The 23,825-nt window shown below is 40.5% G+C and overlaps 1 long non-coding RNA gene across 1 annotated transcript; it reads right to left on the bottom strand.

Moving 5' to 3' along the window:
• Positions 1-1,592: 1,592 nt before the first annotated feature.
• On the bottom strand, positions 1,593-22,157 carry LINC01432 (long intergenic non-protein coding RNA 1432). Its single transcript, NR_038394.1, has 4 exons — positions 21,963-22,157; positions 7,559-7,808; positions 2,781-2,859; positions 1,593-1,745 (listed from the first exon to the last, which is right to left on the bottom strand). It is a non-coding gene; the product is annotated as a long intergenic non-protein coding RNA 1432 (long non-coding RNA).
• Positions 22,158-23,825: the final 1,668 nt, after the last annotated feature.

Genomic DNA, 23,825 nt, shown 5'->3' with positions numbered 1-23,825 from the left:
CTAATCTTAAGACTTATTATAAAGCTACTGTAATCAAGACAGGTGTGATTGGTACAAAACACAGACAAATAAATCAATGGGAAAAAATAGAGAATACAGAAATAGACCCACATTTATGTAAATAACTGATTTTCTACAAAGGTGCATAAGTAATTCCATGGGGGAAAGGGTAGTCTTTTCAACAACTAATGCTGGAACAATTAGATATTCATATACAAAAAATGAACTTCAATCCACACCTTGTACCATATACAAAAATTAACTCAAATGGATTGTAGAATGAAATGTAAAATCTAAGACTATAAAACTTGTAGAAGGAAACAGGACAAAATCTTTGTGGCCTTGAGTTAGGCAAAACCTTCTTTGCTATGACAGCAAAGTCATGGTCCATTAAGAACAAATTGGTAAACTGTATTTCCACAAATTAGAAACCTTTGTTTTTGGACCAACATTGTTTCATTCATAAAAGAATGAAAAGGCAAGTTACAGCCTGGAAAGGTATATTTGCAAAGCATAAGTCTAATAAAGGACTTACATTCTGAATACAGAGCCCCCAAAACTCAATAACTTTAAAAAATATTTTAATAGGCAAAACAGACACTTCACCAGAGAAGATATATGAATGATAAATAAGCACATGAAAAGATAATCAACATTGTTAGTCACTAGGGAAATGCAGATTAAAACCACAATGATATACCACTACACTCCTGTTTCAATGGCTCAGATTAAAATGACCGTCAGGTGTTGGCTAGGATTTGGAGGAACTAGGACTCTCATGCACTGCTGGCAGGAGGTGAAATGGTACAGCCACTTTGGAAAAAAATTGGCAGTTTAACAGTTAAATATACACCTCCTAGTTGATCCAATAAAAATGAAACTATCCATAGAAAGATTTGCACTTTATTTGGTAATAGCCTAAAACTGGAAACAAGCCAAAAGTCCATCAACATATAAATGAATAAACGAATGACAGTATACACAACAGAATATCACTCAGTAATCAAAAGGAATAAAACACTGATATAAGCAACAACATGGATGAATCTCAGAATAATGATGGTGAGTGGAAAAAAATCAAAAAAAGATTACATCCCATATGATTCTATTTATATAAAATTCTAGAAAATTATCATTAACCTACAGATCTATAGTGCCAGAAAACAGATCAGAGGTTTCCTCTTGTAGGATGGCAGGGGGCAGATTAGGAAGGGGCAGACGGAGGAATTATAGGTATCCAAGGAGATTTGGAAGGTGATAGTTGTGTTTATGATCTTGATTTTTGATGATGGTTTCATATGGCAAAGCACATCAAATTGTACATTTTAATAATTGTGGTTTATTGAATGTCAGTTATACCTCATTGAAGTTCTTGAAAGCATATCAAAAAGCAAAATGTCTAAATTCATTACTCAGCAAATATTTACTAAATTTCTGTTTATCTGTTTTTTGTTTTTTTTTTGTCTAACTCTTCTCTGTTTCCTACTCATATCTTGAGTGAAACAGATATAACACTTTTAATTCCACTTTTTGATAATTTAGTGATTGTATTAGTCAGTTCAGGCTGCTGTAACAAAATACCACAGGCCAAGTGGCTTAAACAACAGTTTATTGTTTCACAGTTCTAGAGGCTAGAATTCCAAGATCACAGTGCAAGCAGGGGTGGTTTCTGGTGAGATCTTGCTGGTCAGGTTGCAGAGGGCCGCCTTCTTGCTGTGTCCTCACATGGCCTTTCCTTTATGCACCTGCAGAGAAGAAAGAGAGATCTCTAGTGTCTCTTTCTCTACTTATAAGAACACCAGTCCAATCAGATTAGAGCCCTACACTTATGACTTCATTTAACTTTAATTACCTCTTTAAAGACTCTCTCTGTGAATGCAGTCATATGGGGGTTAGTGCTCCAATATATGAATTTGTTGGGGGGGGCATGATTTAGTTCACAAAAGTGATATTTAGTTTTATTTTTTAAATCTTTGTCCAAATATAATACACAGTAATAACTAAACATACACAGACCTCTAGAGAGGATTATGGACCCAGGTCAAGCTATTGTCAGGGTCCGTATTCTTGGTGAGTAGGACCATGTGTCTCAAAACCTTGCTAAAAATGCATATTTCTTAGCCTCAGCCCAGGCTACTAAATCAGAATCTCAAGGGATGGCATTTTTAAATAAGTATCACAGGAGATTATTGGGTACACTGAAGCTTGAGAGCAACTAGACTCCCTTTCCCTTTAACTGCGACTAATTGTTATTCCAGACCCTTTCTGTCTTTTACACCATGGGTTGGAAAACTTTTTTCTGTAAAGGGTCAGATTATTGTTTTAAACTTTCAGGGCCATACAGTCTCAACTGTGCCATAGTAGCAAAAAGCAACCATAGACAACAAATAAACGAAGAGCATGTCTCTGTTCAATCAAATTTTATTTACAAAACAGGCTGGTGGGGCTGTGGGCCATTTAACCAGAGGTATAGTTTGTGGACTCCTGGCCTAGACAGTCTATTAATGCTACCTACTCAAGAGACAACCATGTTGAGGGTGGTTTTACATTTTCTTCAGGTGAGAACAAGAGTTGATTCTCTGAGATTCAGAATTAGAATACAGATTCATGGCCAAATCATCAATAAATAATTTTGAATGCAGATTTCTGGGCTCTCCTCTCATCTACTGAGTCAGAATCTTAAGAAACTAGGGCTCTGGACGTCCTTAGGTTCGCCAGTGACCCAGATGCACAGACAGTGGTAGGGATTCTGGAAAAGGATGCAGCATGACCATACTTACTTTGCTCCAGGTAAGCTGGAGTGTTGCTGCTACAACCAGCGGCTTCTCCTCTGCATGGCAGACACTGCACCCATGGCCACTGTAGGGGGAATTTCTTTTTTAATGTTTGTTCAATGAAATCCAAGGAAATGGGAAAACTCACCTAAAGCTAGCCTGGACCTTAGCCTTTAGGGAAAATAGAGGCTGCGTGATCCTCCTTGGGAAACTTCAATGGCTCAGAAAACCAGACACAGTCCTGCTGAACTACACACAGGCCGTTCCCACCATTTCCATCCCATTTCCCCATCCTCTGCCCCATCTCTTGAGAACAGGATTCTGAGAACCAAATGGGGAACTGAAATAAGTGTGTGCTTTAGAGTCAGATAAATGAGGGTTAAAATCATAACTCTGCCATTTTTAAGCCAAGGGAACTCAATCAACGTAGAAAAGATTATTCTCCCTGAACTTCAGTTTCTCTGTTTTCAAAGTGATAAAATGGGAATAATAATAAATACCTCATAAAGTTGTTCTGAAGATTTAATGAAATAATGGAGCTGAAACTTGACCTATCACAGATGCTTGCTTGGTGTCAGCAGAGGCTGAGTGGGCATAAGCATTATTTTTAGTAAACGTTTGAATTTAGAATAATTTTAGATTTATAGAAAAGTTGCAAACATAGCACAGAATTCACCTATACCCTGCACCCAGTTTCGTCTATTGTTCACAGCTTATGTTAGTGTGGCACAAGTGACTCAATCAATGAACTAATATGGACACATCATTATTAACTAAAGTCCACACTTCATGAAGACTGCCTCAAGTGTCTTCACTCTGTCCTAGGATCCCACGCAGGGTCCCCCATCACATTTAGTCATCTTATATCCTGAGCCTCTGGGAGACCCTGGCCATTTGACACTCCTCTTGTTTTTCATAATCTGGACAGCCTTGAGGAGCACTGGCCAAGAATTTCGTAGAATAAATGTCCTTCAGTTTGAATTTGTTAGATGTTTTTCTCATGGCCAGACTAGGGTGATGGGTAGTATTTTTTATTCGTCTTCTCTCTTTAGTTTCCATCCAATGTCATTCAGATCCTCAGGCAATGGGCCATCCGACTCAGAATAACAAGGCCAGGAGAGAGAAGCCTGTCATTATTTATGGAATCAGGGCAGCCACAAGAAGGCATAAGTGCAATAGCACTACAATGAGCTTAGATTTGCAAACAAAAAATGTAGTTCTCACTTGTTACACATGTGCTTGATATAAAGTTAATTCGGGATTTTGTCCCAGGAATGGGTGCAAAGTAACAGCTCTTGCTAATTCCTTAACTGTAGGTAATAAATAGTAATAAAAAGTTCTCTTTGTTCATCACCACTGAGTTGCATAATTTGCAGGCAGTTTACATCTCTGTGTCATAAAATTTAAAAAACAAGCTACTCCTTCAAGGTCAGTTAGTGAGAACTTGAAAGATCTGAGTCAGGCCATCAATAAAATGTGGCAAAATGAGATCCAGGTGGACAATCTGTCGTGTTCAAAAGTCTGAAATGAAATATGATCACCAAATGATACAGAAAATTTCAGCAGCTAAAATTCAGCTAGATTACTTAGAAAAAGTTGCCTGCACTGGATAACATCTGTTATAGATGCCAGAGATGCAGTTGCTATTAAATTGTATAAAGTGTCTTTTAAGTAAAAACATCACATTTCTTTTCCACTATTATCAGGAACCAAGACAACATATTATTGCAAAATGTATGCTGTCCAGAGGGTGTGTATGACAGACTTTGATGAAGCTAAAGCCAAGATCAAGGAAAACTAAATAGGAAAGTTCATTATTGACTCCCTTCAAGCACGCACACAACTCCCATACATGGGAATGGCAACTACATGTGCATATCAAAAGCCGAGTACTTGCTCAAGCTCTTAAGACTGAAAAATATAGTTTCCTCATCTGTAAAGTGAGCAGGCAGCACTAAATGATCTCCAGGGTCTCTTCCAGATTGAAAGTCCTAATGTCCTGTAATTCTATTATCCCAGCCTTTGATATGGAATACTCAATGAGAAATAAACTCAAATCAGGCCTGACAGCCAAAATATAATGCAAAGAATCAGTCTTCCCACTCCTAATGCACTAACTGAATTAATGGTTTAGTAGTAATACATGGCTTGTCCTGACAAATTCCATTCTGTATCTGGTAGCAATACCAGCGGGGGAGGGGAGATCCTTGGAAAATACAGCAGCAAGTGTCCATAATGATAATGCCGGTTGAGCACAGTTTACTGTGGGCTAAGTTTAAAATCAGCCCAGATTGTTAAATAAAAATACACATCAGGAGATTTTTCCAGGAGATTAGTTGGCTTTTTCCACACTTGAATTTTGGGAACTTGGAAGTCAGCCCAAGATCTTACAACTTGGCAACAAGGGGGTGGGGTGGGTGTGGGGGACAGGTTTGGAGAGTGTAGAGAGAGAGGTTTGGATTTACTCTACTTTCCTCTTTCTAACACTTTTCTGATATCCAACACAGTTCCTCTTCCTTTAATAAATCAGTAATACCAAAATCAACAAACACGGGAAAGCTGACTAAACAGCAATTGGCTCTGGCCTGCTGTAGTTACTACAATGAAATGATGCCATTAACTGGCCCCAGCCCCATCCTGCTCAGCGCTGAGATTTCTAATCTTACACAGCTGTGCAGCTCCTGGGCCCCTGGAGTTCAGACAGTCTGACTCAGGCCTGAAAGATGCATCATCCTCGACTCTGCAGATCACCAAAGAGGGTCACTTAGTTTGCTTGCCCTTGCTACTCACAATGTAGCCAGGCACCAGCAGCATCAGCACCAGCTAGGAGCACCTGGCAGACTCTTGGGCCCCACCCCACGCAGAACTACCAAATCTCAATCTGAGTATTAACAACTCCGCAGGTGGTTCCTACGCACATTGAATTTTGGAAAGTGCTGGCCTAGACCTTCCCTTTGCTTTCCTCTTTGAGAGAGAGAACAATGTAGCAACTTTAGGTACTTCAAGGCTTCAGTTTTCTGAAAGGGGACCAGATTCTAAGCATCATAAGAAGTGGCATCCAGGCTGGGCATGGTGGCTCACGCCTGTAATCCCAGCGCTTTGGGAGGCCAAGACGGGCAGATCACCTGAGGTCCGCAGTTCAGCCTAGCCAACATGATGAAACCCCGTCTCTACTAAAATTAAAAAAATTAGCCAGGTGTGGTGGCATGCACCTGTAGTCCCAGCTACTTGGGACGCTGAGGCAAGAGAATCGCTTGAACCAAGGAGGCGGAGGTTGCAGTGAGCCGAGATCTCACCACTGCACTCCAGCCTGGGTGACAGAGCAAGACTCCATCTCAAAAAAAAAAAAAAAAAAAAAAGAAGCTTCATCCAAAAAGAGAGTTGGAACTTTTTATGGGATTCTGCTCTGTGTGGCAGGTTAATTGAGATGGTCCTTTGTTGTTTGTTTGTTACCCCTCCACATGCAGACACAGAATCAGCATTTGGGGGATGCGGGAGACCAGGGACGACTCCTTCCTCCTGGGAGAGCTGGGATTCCAGTCCTGGGAGTGATTCTGGGTCATCAGGCCGGAGAATCACACTCTCTGCTATCAGCATCCAACCTACTTGAGTCCTGACCCCACACTGCCAGGAGAGTCCAGCAAGCCCTGAGGGCCTGAGCACAGCCAGGCTGGACACTGGAGGCAGCCCCGGGAGATGGTATGTGGCCTGTTCATGGAGAAGCTGGTTCTACCTCCTGGCTACCTTATTTAGGTGTGGTTGCATTTAATCACCATTTTTTTTCATTGTTGTTTCTTGAACAGATGAACCCCCATACATTCACAATGCCCCTTCTAACATATTTTCACCATATTCTAAACCATTGCTACTTAAGAGTGCAATCCAAGGACCACAGGCCATTGGCATGCCTGTGAGCCCATCACCTCTGCAAGGCTCATGCCCCATCTAGTCCCACTGAGTCTGAATGTGAATTTCAAAAGATCCTGCATGATTTGTGTGCACATTAAAGTGAGAAACGTTGTTGTAAACAACTGCTGCATACCATGAAAAGACTGTTGGAAATGTGCTCAGAGAAGAGCCCTCCTCATCCTCTCCCTAACTGTACCATAACACAGAGCTGGTGCTGAAAAGACAACAGCACATGGTGTGTCTGTGTGATTGCTTGTTTCTCAAAATTTCCTTTTCTCTGAAGTTATTTAGAGGAGTATTTCTTGAAGTGGGCTTCTTTTTTACTTTATTTTGACCCACTAGTTCAGTACTGGTCCCAGTTCCCAAAGAGTTTGGTTTTTATTGGTGAGATGGGGTGGTGGGTCATCGAATTAACTGATGTCCATCTACAGCTAAGTACCTGAGTGGGTTCAGAGGCCTTCCTCTCACTGACTGCTTAACTTCTCTCCTCTACATTGTTGCTGTCCTTTTATGATGCTTTTCCTCGCTTCCTAGGCATGGTTCCTACATTACATCCATCCTCAACCCTCTTTCTTCCTGGCCTTACTCAGCTTAATTCCAGAACATGATTTATAAAATATTAGTCTAAATAACATACTAAACTTTATATGTAACTTGATAGTCTCTAGAAATATGCCCAAGTCAGGTTGTTTCTATGACATTTCTGGAGCCAAAAGCAAAATGCTAACCACAGGTAAAAAGGAAACTTCACTACTCCCATTAGTAATACCCAAACAGTGACATATTCAATTGCCTGCTAAATTCTGAAACCTGAAAAAATACAGCATTGATGTGACTTACCATTAGAAGCAATTAATAAGATTATAATGACTTACCAAGAGTTACCTTTTATGATTATGAATCTTTGTACGTTGATGTCAGGTTTTCAACAATGTGACTTATCTCTTGAGGACAGGAATCATAATTTAAAGCCATTCGCCTTCCTAGTGCTAAGCAGTGCCCAGGATCCCATAGAGTGATGGCTGTACTGGGAGTGATGGTGCCAGTGATCACCAGGATGGAGATTTTGCCATTTTCAAGATGGGTTCAACCCTTTCAGGATGTAGATTTTTTCTTGCAGTTATTCTGTTTTCCAGAAAGAATTAAGTTTAGAAACAACTATAAGAATAGGAAGTCTAGCAGAAAGGATCTTGGGACCTTCAAGAATGATTCCTCTGCTACAAAAAGGTTCTTCCCCTTTAGAAAGGAGAGCATGGGGCCAGGCACAATGGCTCACATCTGTAATCCCAGCACTTTGGGAGGCCGAGGCGAGAGGATCACTTGAGGTTGGGAGTTCGAGACCAGCCTGGCCAACATGGTGAAACCCTGTCTCCACTAAAAATACAAAAATTAGCCAGGCATGTTGGTGTGCACCTGTAATCCCCACTACTTGGGAGGCTGAGCCAGGGGAATCAATTGAACCTGGGAGGTGGAGGTTGCAGTGAGCTGAGATCATGCCTCTGCACTCTAGCCTGGGTGACAGAGCAAGACTCTGTCTCAAAAAGAGAAAAAGAAAGGAGAGCATTGGAGAACCTAAATTTTGGGTTTAATATAATTTCATCAACCATCATTTGAAAGAAGGCTCCAGGTTCTCCAAAATGTAGCCAGGCATCAGCAGCATCAGCACCATCTGGGAGCACATTAGAAAGGCAGACGATTAGAAAAACAGTTCTCCAACCTGCAGCAAATCCTGCTCTCTCCTCCCTTAAAATGTCATATTTCCCTATAGACATTAGTCATATATAATGTATCTATTTGGAAAATGAATTTATACCTAGAGCAAGCCTCAAAGTAAAGCCAGGAACAGAAGGGGTTGAGGATGGATGCAATGGAGAAACCATGCTTAGGAAGCAAGGAAAAGCATCATAAAAGGACAGCAACAGTGTAGAGGAGAGAAGTTAAGCAGTCCATGAGAGGAAGGGCTCTGAACCCACCCAGTTACTTAGCTACAGATAGACATCAGTTAATTCCATGATCAACCACCCCCATCTCACCAATAAAAACCAAACTCTTTGGGAACTGGGACTAGTACTGAACTAGTGGATCAAAATAAAGTCAATAGGTACCCATGCTTTCCCTTGCAGCTTCAATTCTAGCCACCAGTCATACTCAACAATCAAAGTTTCATGAACTCACCTCTTTGAGCCTTTGTGTCTGATGCTAAGTCTGAAAAGAACACCTTTTTCCTATCTGACCCAACCTCTACTCATGCTCGAGGCCACTACTTTCCACAGGGAGTTTTTGCTGATATTCACACATGCAAGGCTCTCTTGTGGTAGCCTGTGTTCACTCCTGTTGGAACTGATAAAATTATCTGTTTACTTGTCCTCTTCCTATCTCAACTGTTATCTCCTAAAACATAGAAATAATTTTGTTTGGTTAATTTGTGCCTCACATACTGCTAGGGTATGTTAGATGCCCAATACTTACGTATCTAATCAACTCATCAGTATTCTATGATACTCCTCATTGATCAGTATTCTTAAATACCACCAAGTTGTCAAAAAGTGGCTCTTACATGAAAAGAAATTATTTTCTAAATTACTGTTTCATATTTGTCTTTACATCCATCATTTATTCCTCCTCAAAAGAAAAGGGGAAAGAAGCCTTGTTATAGCCACAGTTTCCTGTTCTCACTCATAAAATAGTCATTTTATATTGCTGTTGGGATGCAGGTGGTTTGTGCAGGAACTTGGGGTGATAGAGGAAAGCCAGACTCAATGATTTTTTGGTCCTTTCCACTCCAGAAGATGTCTTCAGATATTCCTTTTTCTCCCTCTCTTTTCAAAATTAGGTGGGACCTCCTAAGTGACGCCAAAATCCATCTCTCCACTAAAGATGTTTATCTAGCTGCAGACAAACTTTCAAACCTTCTCTTGGCTCCTCGCCCAGAAGATCTGCCAGGGAAGCACAGAATGGAGAAGGAGGAGAGGTAGAGAAGCACACTTTGTGCTTAGGGACTCTCTTTTCCTTCCCCCAATCTTCCACTCTCCCACTACTGTGTTTTTCTAATACTGTCTACTCTTCATCATGGTTGAGAAGCTACTGAGCTGGTGTTTCCTAAATTCTAGAACTAGTGCCTGATTAATTAGCAAATAATTACAAAACAATATACAACCTCCAGATGAAAAGCTTAATGGCAGAGTATTATGTCAGGACCTTAGAATTAATAGCATATAATATTTACACTATTCTATTGCTGATCTCTGACCACTTCCACAATTTCTGCAGAAATTAGATATTGTCTTTTTTAGCTATAATTGTCTCAAAGGGAAAAAGAAAAGCTGACATGACAGTGCAGTCCTTCCAAATAGAACTTCATGATCAGTTCATTGACTTGGAGGCATCTTAAAGAAAATTTTAAGATCACCTAGGTCAAATCATCCATTTTATAAATAGGTAAAGTGAAGCCCACAGAGGCTTTGGGGATTGTCCAAAGGCCAAGACTTGAGTCTCACATTTAATCTAATCTAGCATTCATCTCAGCAGTAGTTCTCAAAGTGCGCTCCACAGAGCAGTAGCCTCAGTACAACCTCAGGACTTAGAAATGCAGACTTTCCACCCCATCCAGACCTATTGGATCAGGGCCGCTGGTGGTCAGGCCCAGCAATCTGTGTTTTCACTGGCTCTCCAGGGGGTTCAGATGCACCCTCGGTTTGAGAGCCACTGCAGATGCACCACATACCATCCAAAGGTTGCTCAAAAGTAATGGGCAAGTCTTCTGACTCGAAGATCATGTTGACCAGGGAGTGGGGTGGAGAGAAATATTCTGATAGCCAAATGAGAGGCGATCCAATAAGAATAAAGATGCAAAATAAGAAGGAAAAGTAGGCTCAGGACTCCAGTTGGAATGCCTATTAAAGTAGCAGCAAGATCCCTTCTTATCCTTGGCTATGAAATAGTGACTCTTCCCTTTCAGAAAATAAAACATGAGAGGAAGGAGGAAGATAAAGAACCACTTTCCTTTCCCAATCACTTTCTTAGCTCCAGAAAGTTTGCCTCTTAAGGAATTTAATCAGGAAATAAGATCTCAGTAGGAAGTGGAGTAAGTTCTTTCTTCTACAAATCACCTGACAGTTTCCAAAGTCATTAATCAGCGTTTTCAATTCCACTCCTCCCATGTGTGGGGCTCAATCTCTCCTTCCTTTACACAGTGGAGAGCATGGCTTTCTTCCTGCAGTCCAGTGTCACCAGGCTTATGTCTTCATAGCTCATTTCCGAGGAGATGGGGGAATCTTGCCTCATAGCTTTTGGCTTTCAAAGTGCATGAGAAAACCCTTGTGGGTCCAGCTTGGTCATTCTGCTACAGCGTGGACTATGTTCCACGGACAAACAGAAGAGACACCATGATTAACCAGGTCTGCGTTACAGGACTATGCTCTAAGCAAGGAAAAGGTCACTGAAATTAGGGATCCCCACCAGTGAACCATGACAAAAATGAGTGGAAGATTGGTGTTCCCAGTGGAAATAGTGGAAAGATGGCTGCTATGTCCCTTCTCCCAGCATTGGCCTTATGGAGCCTCACAGTGATGATTCGTCTGATCAACTATGGATGATGATAAACTAACTTTTGTTATTAAATATTTTGCCATCGCAGGACCCATTTATGTGGTTAACAGATTGGAGAAGGTGTAACACTGTGAGATTTGAGGGGGATGCAGTTCTTGGTGAAATTAAAACAGCAGATTATGGTAACTCAAAGTCCAAACACAGACATGACTCATGCTAATTCAGAACAGAGATTCAGGAACCAAAGGCCGCATTATCCAATCTTGCCTGTATCTCATTCTATTGGGCTAAACCTTGAGATGACAGTAGAAAGAGTATTATCCTTTCCATCTTACCAAGGAGAAAGCTAACACCCAGAGAACTTTACTAACTCTATTAATAGTAACAGAGCTGCCCCAGATCCTAGTTCAATGCCCTTACAATGATTTCAGATGGCTTTTACAAAAGAAAAGAGAAAGATAATCAGGCCATCAAGGTAAGACCATCCTGGACACTCATAAACATTCTGATGACCACAGAAATAAGCAGAAAGGTGGTCAAATATATGAATATTGTCATTTATATGAGAGGAAACTGGAGGGGAACATGTGTCATATACTATGCTTTCTTCCTCCAAGTGAATTTTCTAATTAGAGTTCAAGCGTGGTTCAATTGGGGGTGGAGGGACTAAAATATGGAACTTTTATGGATCTGCTCCTGTGTCTTATTTTATATCAAATTCTTGACCATTCTCATGAGTTTAGATCTGATTTATGATGACTTAGGAAATTGCATATAGATCCATCACTGCTGAAATAATGTGACCATCTGAAAATGAAGGTGGGGAAAGACCCTGAATCCACTCCAGGAGGTCATTTAAAATCTGAGGGGGAAAAATAGATAAAACATAGAGGAGACCAGCAGCAAAATAAAACCCGGCAATGTGGTTCCTGATTGAGAAGCTAGGGAGTGGAGAAGCAGCAAGCTGTGCACAGTTGGAAAATGCAGGGAGTGCTCATTTCAGTGGCCAGGTTTTGAACATGTCAGTTTAATTATGATGCATCATAGTTGACAGCAATGCATATGGAACCAATTACAGCACATGTTAAAATCAATTATTGCATATTTCAGCTATCCTAAACACTGGAAAAAGCATTCTGTGCATTGCTGCAGATTTCAACTCCACTAATCATTTTTACTATCATGGTTCAACAAGAAAAGGAAAATATATATATATATATATATATGTATGTGTATGTATAAAAAATATATATATGTATGTGTATGTATAAAAATATACATATATATCTATACTGAGAAAAACACGTTTCATAACCAACATCAAATGCAAAGCACAGAAACAGTAGCAATAGAAAAGTTTCAAACGTTTGTTCTTAGAGAAGTCTAATCTTCCATCATGCCTTTTTGAAGAGAAATAATGAAAAATAAAATTCCTTGCTATCTCCCAAACACTGTTTTGATCAATTTAATCCACTTGGGCCTCTTTACCAGCAGTGAGGTCCATTCTCAGCTGCTGTCTACTGGCTATTTTGGTCTAAAATGTTTGCCTTAACTGTTTACCCTGTTTCTGTGGCCTTTTCTCCCCCTTCAGATTTCTAACTCAAAAACTATCCTTCAAAGTCCACAGCTTATTCATTTTCTGTTTACTTTTATATGCACCAGCAAATAATTGGGTTATTGAAAAATGAAGGTGAGGAGGAGGAGGAGAAGGAAGGTGAAAAAAGTGAAGGTGGATGGCATTTGCCATTCCTCGGAGATTTGCACATATCCTGGTTGTATTAAATCAGCAGCCTGTATGGTGTGGTGAGCTCCAAAATACGTTTCCTGTGAAGAAGGCTTATATTCTGCAAATTTCTACTTCCTGTTCACTGTGCATAACAAAAGTCGCCATAGCAAAAGTGAGTTGCAGGAAACCCACTGTGTCTGAACTGCACTGAAGGCTTGGGGACACACACTGGTCTCCCATGGTGATAATTTATCTACACAAATCCTCCTGTCCTGGGATGAGGCAGGAGCTCCAAGGTGACCAAGCATTCCAAAAAAAAGCCACACGCCTCACAAAACTTGGCTCCAGGGAGCAGGTGGGTGTGTATCCCGGGAAAGGGATCAGTGGTGTCTGAGTCAAGAAGAGCCCAGTGGTCCAAGCAAGAGCAAAGAAAAACAGCCCATGCGGTTTAGTCAAGAGAGAGCCGGGCAGGATGTCGGGAATGCTGACTTCTCTGCTCAGCAGCTTGCCCAGCTGGGGCAAGGCACTCAATGCCTCGTTGTCCTCCGGACTGTCACCTGGCAATGAGGGAAGTATATCAAAGAGAGAACGAGGCCTCTGAATTGCTTCAGGGCCCATAAAAGGAGGACAGCTCCATTTTGAAGTTTTTGAGGATCAGGGTGGGAACAACTTATGCTTGTTTGTTCTGTGACTAAACGATGGACCCCAACTTGTGCCAGCTGCATTTCATTCATTTGTTCCTTCCTTCCTACCTACCTTCCTTCCTTCCTTCATTCACTTAAGAAGTACTTATTTTGAACTAGTCCTAGAGATACCCATTCTCCTCTAGTGGAGCTGATAGATTACCAGGGAAGACAGCGGCATCAATAACCACATGGACATTAAGGGAAGTAAAACAAGACCCAGGCCCCTGGGTTGTGTTCTGGATAAAGGGAGAATCTGCACTATACTGTACACATGCCTGTGATCTGCCACAAAGGGAGTATGGTGGGAAAGTGGAGGAGAAAGAATCCCACATTGCCCCTTCCCAAGAATTTGATGGACTCTTAAGTCTGCATTGTGATTCAAATGATTTAAAGGGTATCTTGTGTTCCATCCAATAAGTGGGGACCTGGGCTGTGTGAGCTGAGTAGGAAAATCTGCTGGTGGCCATTTGCGAGTTGGAGGACAAAGCTCAGACATAGTTTGGGACGAAGGAGTTTCATGGGTCAGGGTCCCAGAAGGATATGGAATTCACCCATATGGTTCAAATGTAGAAATGCTGTCCAAGGGGTGGCAAGACAGAATGTAGGCAGAGTAAACCAACAAGGGTTGGGAGGCCCCCAAAGACTAACAGCAGTTTGGAGCAGTTTGGAGCTATTACTGCCCTAGGAGATACTAGGAGCTAAGGAAGAGGGCTGCAGGGGAAGTGCCCACCAGAAGGGAAGGGTACAACTGCTGCTGGAATTGTGACCCCAAGGCAGGGAGGGAGTGGAGGAAGAAATGCCCCATCTCTCTCTTCTGTTTGCCTACCTTCTTCAACAGAGCCCAGATGTGGCATTCCTCAGCACAGATCAGTTCCTCAGCAAAGAAAAAAGTATGTTTATATGGCTGGAAGTGACCAGAACAAGGACTCCAGCAACCCCAGAACATGCCCAGTTGCCCAGGGTTCAGGGACCATTATCTCAATGTATCTGTAACCAGATCTGACATTCAAATTGGGACACTCTAGAACATGATTCACCCCAGCAAAGGTGTGCAAATAGAGTGCGAGACAGGAGCCAGCTCTAGATGAAGAGACCTATGAGCAATGGTCTAGAGCATCATGCCCCCAGCATGCTTTGGGCAAGCTTATGTGGTTAGGGAGGGAGGCTTGGGAGAGAACCTCAGAAATGTTGAGAAAAGTGCTAGAAGGCTTTACTAAAGCATTTGCACTTGATTCTAAAGCAATGGAAACAAGCTTTTAAGATGAGCCCACTCACTTCACCTCTCTGTTCAGAAACACACATGTGCTTTTGACCCCAATGGGTTCAGTAACAAGCTTGTGAGTAGACGCGAGTGGCTTCTACCAGTTGAAGCTCATCAGAAAAGCAATCAGTAGTTTCATGTAGTAGTTAAGAGCATGGGTTCTAGCCTTGGGTATGCCACTTACCAGCTGTGTGACCTTGGGCAAGTTACAGATAGTGCCTCAGTTTCCTCATCTGTAAAATGGTGATAAAAATGGCACTGACTTCATTGGATTGCCTTGAGGAGTAAATGAGCTCATATTTGAAAAGATCTGAGAACAATAATTAGTATCCATCTTAATAGCAGCCACATATAATGCATAATAGTTACATATTCAAAAGAGATATTATTGTAACACTTACCAGCTGACCAAGAACCCTGAAAAGATACCCCTGAAGAGCACCCATAAAGAGATTTGAGCTATAAATAAGAATCAAGAAAACATTAGGCTGCCAGCTCATCAAAATTGTCCCAGCCCAGACCACAGAGCAGAACAAAGACATCTGAGAGTTTTTGCATATACTCCCTTATGACAGAGAGAACGGCCACATACAGTCTAATGCTGAATGTGCACACGTTGTGAATATTTCCAGACCTACAAAACTTCCAGGTGGCATGTCACAGTATTCTAGAGGCAAGCTGTCTCTAGAATGTCACAACACAGAACTTTCCTGAAGGCATCTCAGAGCCAGAGGAGTAAACAGCAGAGACTAGCTCCCAGGTCATCTGCCTGTAACCCTCACTGCTGCTAAAACATTCCAAGAAATTACTCTTACCATCCCATCTGATTCACTTGGTACAAGCAGCAAGTGCAAATACCCATGTGTGGTCTGAACCACATGACCCTTCAAATAAAAAATATAAAATATGTCATAGTATTTTCACAATCCTCTGCAAAAAAAATGCAAATTTTTTTTCTCTTTTTCATTTTTCTGTTGACATTCATAGCTCTACAGTTGACATTTGGTCTTCTAAAATGTCTTATATAGATGTATCAGAGGCTTAGGCAACTGAAAAAGTGGAGGCATAAGGAGGTGTTTTGTAGTTTATCAAACTGTGAGTACTGATACCTCATTAATTTTTAATGCTTCCTTCGGCCAAGGTGAGGCAGCGTTTTCCTCCGGCAATCTTAATGATGCAAGCCCTGCCACTCACACAGGTGTTAATGGCAAAGTAATTTTGAGGTTTCTGGATGAGACAAACATTCCACATTTGTAGAACAAACATTCAGGAGGGATCCAATGTCAATGTTTCCTACGGATTTTTATTTAATAGCTCTGCTGCCTAGCCTGCTGGGATGCTCTCAAGAAGGGACACTGTTGTCCAGTCAGTCCTTGCTGAATCACCCATGCCCACTACAGCTCAGACATGCCCACATTGTCCTCACTCCTCACCACACCCTGGAGAGGGCATCTTTCCTCCACATGCTGTTCAAAAATTGACACAGCAGAAGCGGAGCCACAAGACACCTGGACCAGCCCAGAAAGTCTCTGCAGCATTATTAAGGCAAGGGTGCTCCGAACAGTTGTTCTTAAAATGTAATTCTGCAGTTCACCCAGGAACTTGTTAGAAATGCAAATTCTCAGTCTCCACACCAGACCTTCTGAACCAGAAACCCTGGCGATGGAACCCCACTATCTGTGCATCAACAAGCTCCCCCCAACACGCCGCAACAAGTGATCTGATGCCTACTGAGACAACCAATCAAAAAGTACACAAATAAAAATGTGGTTTTGTGTAAGTAAGGTTAGTACATTATCTGCATGGTGAAACCCTACAAAACATAGGTCACATCTGTTGCTCAATCTAGAGAGAAGAGACCTAGGGTCCAAATGTCAGTGGAAGCTTCAGGACATTGAGGAACTGCCCTTGCCGTTATTTGGAAAGAGAGAAAAAGACTACCCCTGCTCCCTCACCCAGCAAAAACAAAATGCCCTAAAGGGTATAATTTAACAGAGCCATTTAATGATCAGAAAGGGGCTTCCTTTGTCGGTCAGAAGGAAGGAGGAAAAAGGAGGCACATTCTTCAGCGAGGGAGAGAAAGCCCCTTTGGCAATCAGGTGAAAGCCCAGTCAGAGCATGGTTTTGGAGCCTCTGCACAGCAGGTCTGGGACTACAGTCTTTGGGATGATGTGACACTCCCTCAGCAACCTGGCAGAGCACAAGGACAAGAAGGGTGGTGATAGATGATACTGGATCAATTACTTGGATTCCACCAGTTAAGTAGGAGGAACTTAAATGAGAACTAGAACTCCAGCCACCATGCTATGCAGGAAAAGGAATAGAAAAACAGCTTATGATTTTTGCTTCCTGGCTGGGAAGCTTCCTGGCTGTGTCTGCTATGCAAGCAATAAAGTGGTTTGACCTGCCTGTTTTGACACCATGTACACAAAGCTTAGTCTGTATATGGTCTTGAGGATTTTAGAACACTTGGCTTGGAATTTTATAGCCTCATGTTCTATCACAATTCCAAAAAGATATCTGCATGAAAACAAGAGTTTTGGAATCTATTTAACAGAGCTACAGTCCTGATATATAGAAGAAATAATATTCAGGTGGCATCCTCTGTCTATCCGTGGTGGCTCAATACCTGCCTTCAGCCTTCTAGGGACTTTTCCTTCCACTTCCCACATAAACTCTTCCTTCAGCCAGGCCAGCTGCCCTCACTGTCACAGCGTCCAGTGTTCAACACTTCCTATCTCTATGCCTTGGCCTATCATGCCCTCTAGGCTGAATGCTGCCGCAACTCCCTCTCTGGTTACTTGCTCCCAGGACTCTCTTACTCCTCTGCATCTTCACTGTTCAGTTTCCCTCTCTCTGACTTTTCCCTTGTTTTTATGTGTTCATAATGCTCTGCCCTGTGCTGTGCACTTGGACTGGCACAGGAAGTAACCCTCATGGAATCCGTGCAGGCTACCAGCTATACAGGTTTGGCCCCAAAACCAGTCAAATTTGTACATAACCGGTTATTTACATTTCAATTCCCGAATTTTACCAAGGCAAATTGCTGAAATAAAAGTAATATCTGTTTACAATGACTTTAAAAAGGATTTTTTTTCCTTCAAGTCTTTGCCAGATTAGAAACACACAACCTATGTTTCAGAAAACTGAGGAACTACAGGTGTGGAAAGAGCCCAGCAGTGCTTGCCACTTTCTTAGACTGAGAAGTAAGGTGGGCTCTTCCTGCAGAGGGTAGAGAAACAGGGTGAAGAAAAGGAAGGGCAACAAGATTGAGTCCACCCATTCTATCCATCTATCCCTCCACCCTTCTATCCATCCGTATTAGTTCATTTTCACACTGCTGATAAAGACATGACCAAAACTGGGAACAAAAAGAGCTTTAACTGGACTTACAGTTCCACAGGGCTGGGGAGGCCTCAGAATCATAGCAGGAGGCAAAAGGCACTTCTTACGTGGCAGCGGCAAGGAAAAATGAGGAAGAAACAAAAGTGGAAACCCCTGATAAATCCATAAGATCTCATGAGACGTATTCACTATCACAAGAATAGCAAGGAAAAGACTGGCCCCATGATTCAATTACCTCCCCCTGGGTCCATCCCACAACATGTGGGAATTCCAGGAGAAACAATTCAAGTTGAGATTTGTATGAGGACACAGCCAAACCATATCACCATCCATCTGTCCATTCATCCACCTATCTAATCATACATTCATCTATCCATCCATCCATCCATCCATCCATCTATCCATCCATTCATCCACCATTTATTCATCTGTCATCCATCTACCTATCCATCCACTTACCCATTCATCCATTCATTCATCTATCCATCCACCTTTCCCTTCATTCATCAATCTATCTATAGATCCATCCATCCATATATTTATCTATGTCTATCTACATATTATGTTATAAAATTATATTATTATATACTGTAAAATTATAGTAATATAATATACTATTATTAGGATGTAGATTCAATGGTTATAACAAAAAAAAACCCTACCAATGGTGACTTAAACAAGATAAGATTTCTTTCTTGCTTGCTTAAATACACAGGCTTAGGCAATTCTGAACTGATGTGGTGGCTCAACAGCATCAATGACTCAACTTCATTAGTTCTCGCTTTGCTGTCCTCAATGATTAGATTGCACCTCCTGGTCTCATGTGGCTGCTTCAGCACCCACTGCCATGTGCAGAGCACAAGGGACAGAAGGAAAGATATGAGCATGACTGAGAGGTGATATCCACCATCGCCATTCACATACCTCTGACTATAAGTTTAGCATGTGACCACCACCACTTTAAAGGTTCCTTTGGACAAGGGACCACACTCAGTATACACTCAGATAAACTATTACTAAAGGAAGAAGGATGAAAGGGATATTGGACACCTGTATCTCTACTATACTGGCTATCCTGACTTAATAATGTGGAAATTCCTAAATTATAAAAGATATTTATATATATACAAAATTATTTTCCACAGAAAGCACTAACGTGTATGGGCTGTTTGCCATCGTGTGCCATCTGTCACTCCAGCTTCCCATTGCCATCGTTATCTTGAGTGGGCCTTACTACAGCACTCCATTTCTGGGTGGAGATTAAGTTCATAGACTGTCAAACTTTCCTTTATGTTTTTAAACTTATTTTATAGAGTGGGATTTATTACAAATGTCATGCAATTTTGTTATAAAATAATTCAAAAATGCAAATAAGCAAACAGAAGGAGAGGAAAGAGAGAGAGCAAAAAAAGAAGGGAAAGAAAGAAAAACATTTTGTGGTTCTATCCCACAGAGACCATGACTTGTAATTATTTGGTGTACATCACTTTAGTTATTATTTTTCTACCAAAATAAAATTACAAAGTATATATGACCTTGGAACTTAGTCAACCTTAACACATACACTTAACAGTACAGTATAGATTTGGTTCTATTTGAATACAACATTTCTCCAAGAAATTTGCTAATATCTATTACAATATACCATTGTAAAGATGTTTTTAAATTAATCTAACTATTGTTGAAGATGAAAGTTTTACCACTGAAAACAACAAACAATAAGCTCTGCGGAAATACAGAGCAAAAGCAATGAAAAAACTATGTTATCAGCATTTATGCTTTGAAATCTTAGATTCTTTTGGCAGTCTGTAAGCAAAAAGAGGATAAGAGAAGTGGAATAAGTGTTTTATCAGCAAGATCATATTTGCAAAACTATTTTATGAGCACAGGGTAAATGGAGAGCTTCATTCCTTTCAAGAGAAAGAATTCTAGAATACATTCCATTACCAATATACATCCCTATGTGAAGATGATCAAAAATATGTGCATTGAAAAAAAGAAAAGGAGGAAAAAAGATTGTAAGATGTCCCAAACAGAACAGATTGCTCTATTGTAGCTGATGTTTTCCTCTTTCCCTATAATCAAGCATCAAAGGCCCTAACAGACAATGGCTAAGTTGTCCCAGATGGCGGCACACACATATGGGAAAAGAAGACCAGTGCATGACTGTGCTGATGGGGTTAGGATGCATTTCCTAAATGTCCATCCAGGAGGACAAGGCAGACCTGGCCAGACCAAGGCTACAGACACATCGAAAGAATTGGAAACCTGACAGTGCACCAACCCAGCAAGCCTATTTGGGTGCCAGTCATACAAGCAGCATGCATAGGTTGCCTCTCGTCTGTAACAGCATCTCGTACTCATTAGCCCACTGGAGCCTCGTGCTTCCAGGGCAAATGTGAAATAAATTAAACCGACAGGGTCCTGCTTTGCAAGAATTTATGTTGTCTTTTTTTTTTTCATGGCCATATTGGGCCCCGAAAAGGGCCTCCTGCTCCAACCCTAGCCCCAGCTTGCATCCTGGCCAGGTAATCTAACATTTATGAAATGCCTCATTCTCCACATTTAGCTGGAGAGACAAATCCTTGAAGACATTAGGGATATGTTTTGCTTAAAAGCAAATTCTAATATATAAGATATAAGCATGGGGTAACTTTTATTCTACAAAATAATTCTGAACTTTATAGAAGAATTTCTCAGACAATTTTGTCTCATGTGAGCTTTTTAAGTAAGAGACAATTTACAAAATCATTCATACTCAACTTTTTTTCTGAGAATTCATCTATTGTGTAAAGTTAAGTACAACCACATTGTTAGAGTCATCATAATTAGATTGGTTAGTTCATACAATAAAAGCCACTAGTAACATTGTGTCTTATGGTTGACAAAGCACTTTCATAACTATGATCTTTCATAACTATGACCTTTCATAACTACGACCCTACAACAACCTCCAGTGAGGTAGTAATTACTATTCTCTCTGACACACTAATGAAGAAAACTGAAGCTCAGAGAGGTTGAGTAACTTTTTAAGAATACACAGCTCGTGGATGATAGAAATGGGGCTGGAATCCATTTCTTCTCACTTAACCATACTTTCCTCTCATTTCAACTCTTGTGGTATAGAACCAGGATAACCGTATGTCCCAATTTTCCTGGTATCACCCGTTTAAGACTTTTTCCCAGAATAAATTTATTAAGAATGTCTTCTTTTATTCTCGAAATTGACCCTGTTTGTATGATAAATGACAGAACAGTGTTTTATGTTCCATATTTTTCAGGCTGTAAGATTTCTTGTGATGCCACATAGGGATGGGGAACAGGGCAAGAGGTGTAAAGACCAAGTAGGCTAAAGAATCCCTAATTGCATTTCAACTGCAGTACTCATACCATTATCTGTTTTTATGTCTTTGTTCTGTTTTTAAACAAAACGGAAAACGGATACTACTCTTTTAAAAGGTTTAAAGCCTTTTATCTATAAAAATAGTTGCAGAAGTAAGACTATGGAATACACATCATTAGTAAAATCTAACCACTACACGTGGAAAATAATGGATTCTAATACCAACACTGAGAGACTTATACATTCAACAAAACCTAACAAAGCATAGGCTATCATATCATTTAAGACTGGTGGTTGCTATTAACTGAAAATCCAATTCACTGATTTAATTAAAAAGTAAAGAGAAAAAATAATGACAGTATTGACTCACATAACTAAAAAGTCTGGGACTAGATCCAGATGCTCCAAGCTGTCATTAGAAGTTGGTTTCTCCATCTTTAACGTCTGCCTTACACTCTAATGGATCCATTCTCAAGATTTCTACTGCTCCCTGGGAGTGCAGGGTTTATATAGTGCCAGTAATCTCAGCAAAATGCTTTGTATCTGCCTGATGCGCCTTACTCTCTCCATTCAAAGCAATCAGGACAGCCAAGTGAAAGCAATGCTCAGATTGGTCCACAGGAATTGCCAATCACATTCTGTACCTAGAGGTGGGATCTGCCCAAAGTATGTGTCAGGAGAGTAGAGGAAGACAGATTACCCCAAGAATGAAAGAGGGGAAATCATTACAAACCATGTAGATACTAAAAGGGGGAAAATGTATGCTATACTATACTATCACATACTACAGATAACTCCAGGCTGGTAAACTAGATAACTTAGATAAAACAGGGTGATGCTGCATTTTGGAGTTGAAGATTCCATCCTTTCTTTTGCACCCATATCCTAGATTCTTGGGGTAATCTGTCTTCCTCTGCTCTCCTTATAAGTGAGAACACGTGGTAGTATTTGGCTTTCTGTTTCTGAGTTATTTGATTTAAGATAATGGTCTCTAGTTCCACCCATGTTGCTGCAAAAGACATGATTTCACTCTTTTTTTATGGCTGAGTAGCATTCCATGGAATATAGTTATATACTACCACATGTTCTCACTTATAAATAGGGCCTTAAAAAGGTGTACACATGGACATAGAGTGTGGAATAATAAAGGCTGAATACTTGGAAGGGAGGAAGAGTAGGAAGAGGGTGAGGGATGAGAAATTACTTAAGGTGTACAAATGACATTGTTTGGGTGGTGGTTACATTAAAAGCTCAGGTTTTACCACTATGCAAAGTATCCATGTAACAAAACTGTGCTTGTACTCCCTAAATTTACACAAATAGAAAAAAGGAAAAAAGAACTCAAAAGGAGAAAAATAGTCTACTCTATTTATGTGGCTATTTCTGTTGATCTTCTTTTATTTTTGAAGTTCCAAGTTCCATTTCTTATCATTTCCCTTCTGTCTGAAGAATTTTTTTAAGCAATTCTTTTAGCACAGGTCTGATGGCAATAAACTCTCTTAGTTTTCCCTCATTTGACTATATCTTTGTTAATCCTTCATTCCTGAAGGAATTTTTTGTTGAATATAAAATCCTGGTTTGATAAGACTTTTCTTTCAGCATTTGAAAACTTGTGTCACTTCCTTCTGGTCTTCATGGTTTCTCAAATAACCCAGTACTTAATCATTTTCCCCTGGATGTTTTCCAGGTTTTTCTTTGTCTTTTATATTTAGAACTTTAATTACAATGTATCTAGGCATTGATTTATTTGGGTTTATTATGCGTTGGGTTTGCTTAGCTTCTTCAATCTTTACATTTTTCTCTTTACCAATGCGAAAAGTTTTCACTCATTGTTTCTTCAAATACTTTTCTACACCAGACTCTTTCTCCTGTCTTTTTTTACTCTGATGACATGAATATTAGACTTTTCATTATTGTCCCACAGCCCATGAGGCTCTCTTTTTTTTCTTCTCTAAAATTTTCTGTGTTGTTCAGATTAGATAATTTTTTTTTTGTCTATCTTCAATTTTACTGACTTTTGTCTTTCTTCTCCTTACTGCTATTAAGCCCTTTTATTGAGTTTAGGTCTTCTTATAGCTTCTATTTGTTTGCTGAGACTTTCTATTTTTCCCCTTATTTCAATAGTGTTCACAATTGCTTCTTGGGGCATTTTTATAGTAGCTGCTTTAAAACCTTTGTCAGTCAGTTCCAGCATCTGTGTGTTGTCATCTGTTGACTGTCTACCCTTGCAAGC

Source organism: Homo sapiens, chromosome 20 (genome assembly GCF_000001405.40).
Source record: "Homo sapiens chromosome 20, GRCh38.p14 Primary Assembly".
Lineage (NCBI taxonomy): Eukaryota > Metazoa > Chordata > Mammalia > Primates > Hominidae > Homo > Homo sapiens.
Note: the sequence above shows the minus strand (reverse complement) of the source record. Positions and strands in the feature narration are given on the sequence as shown.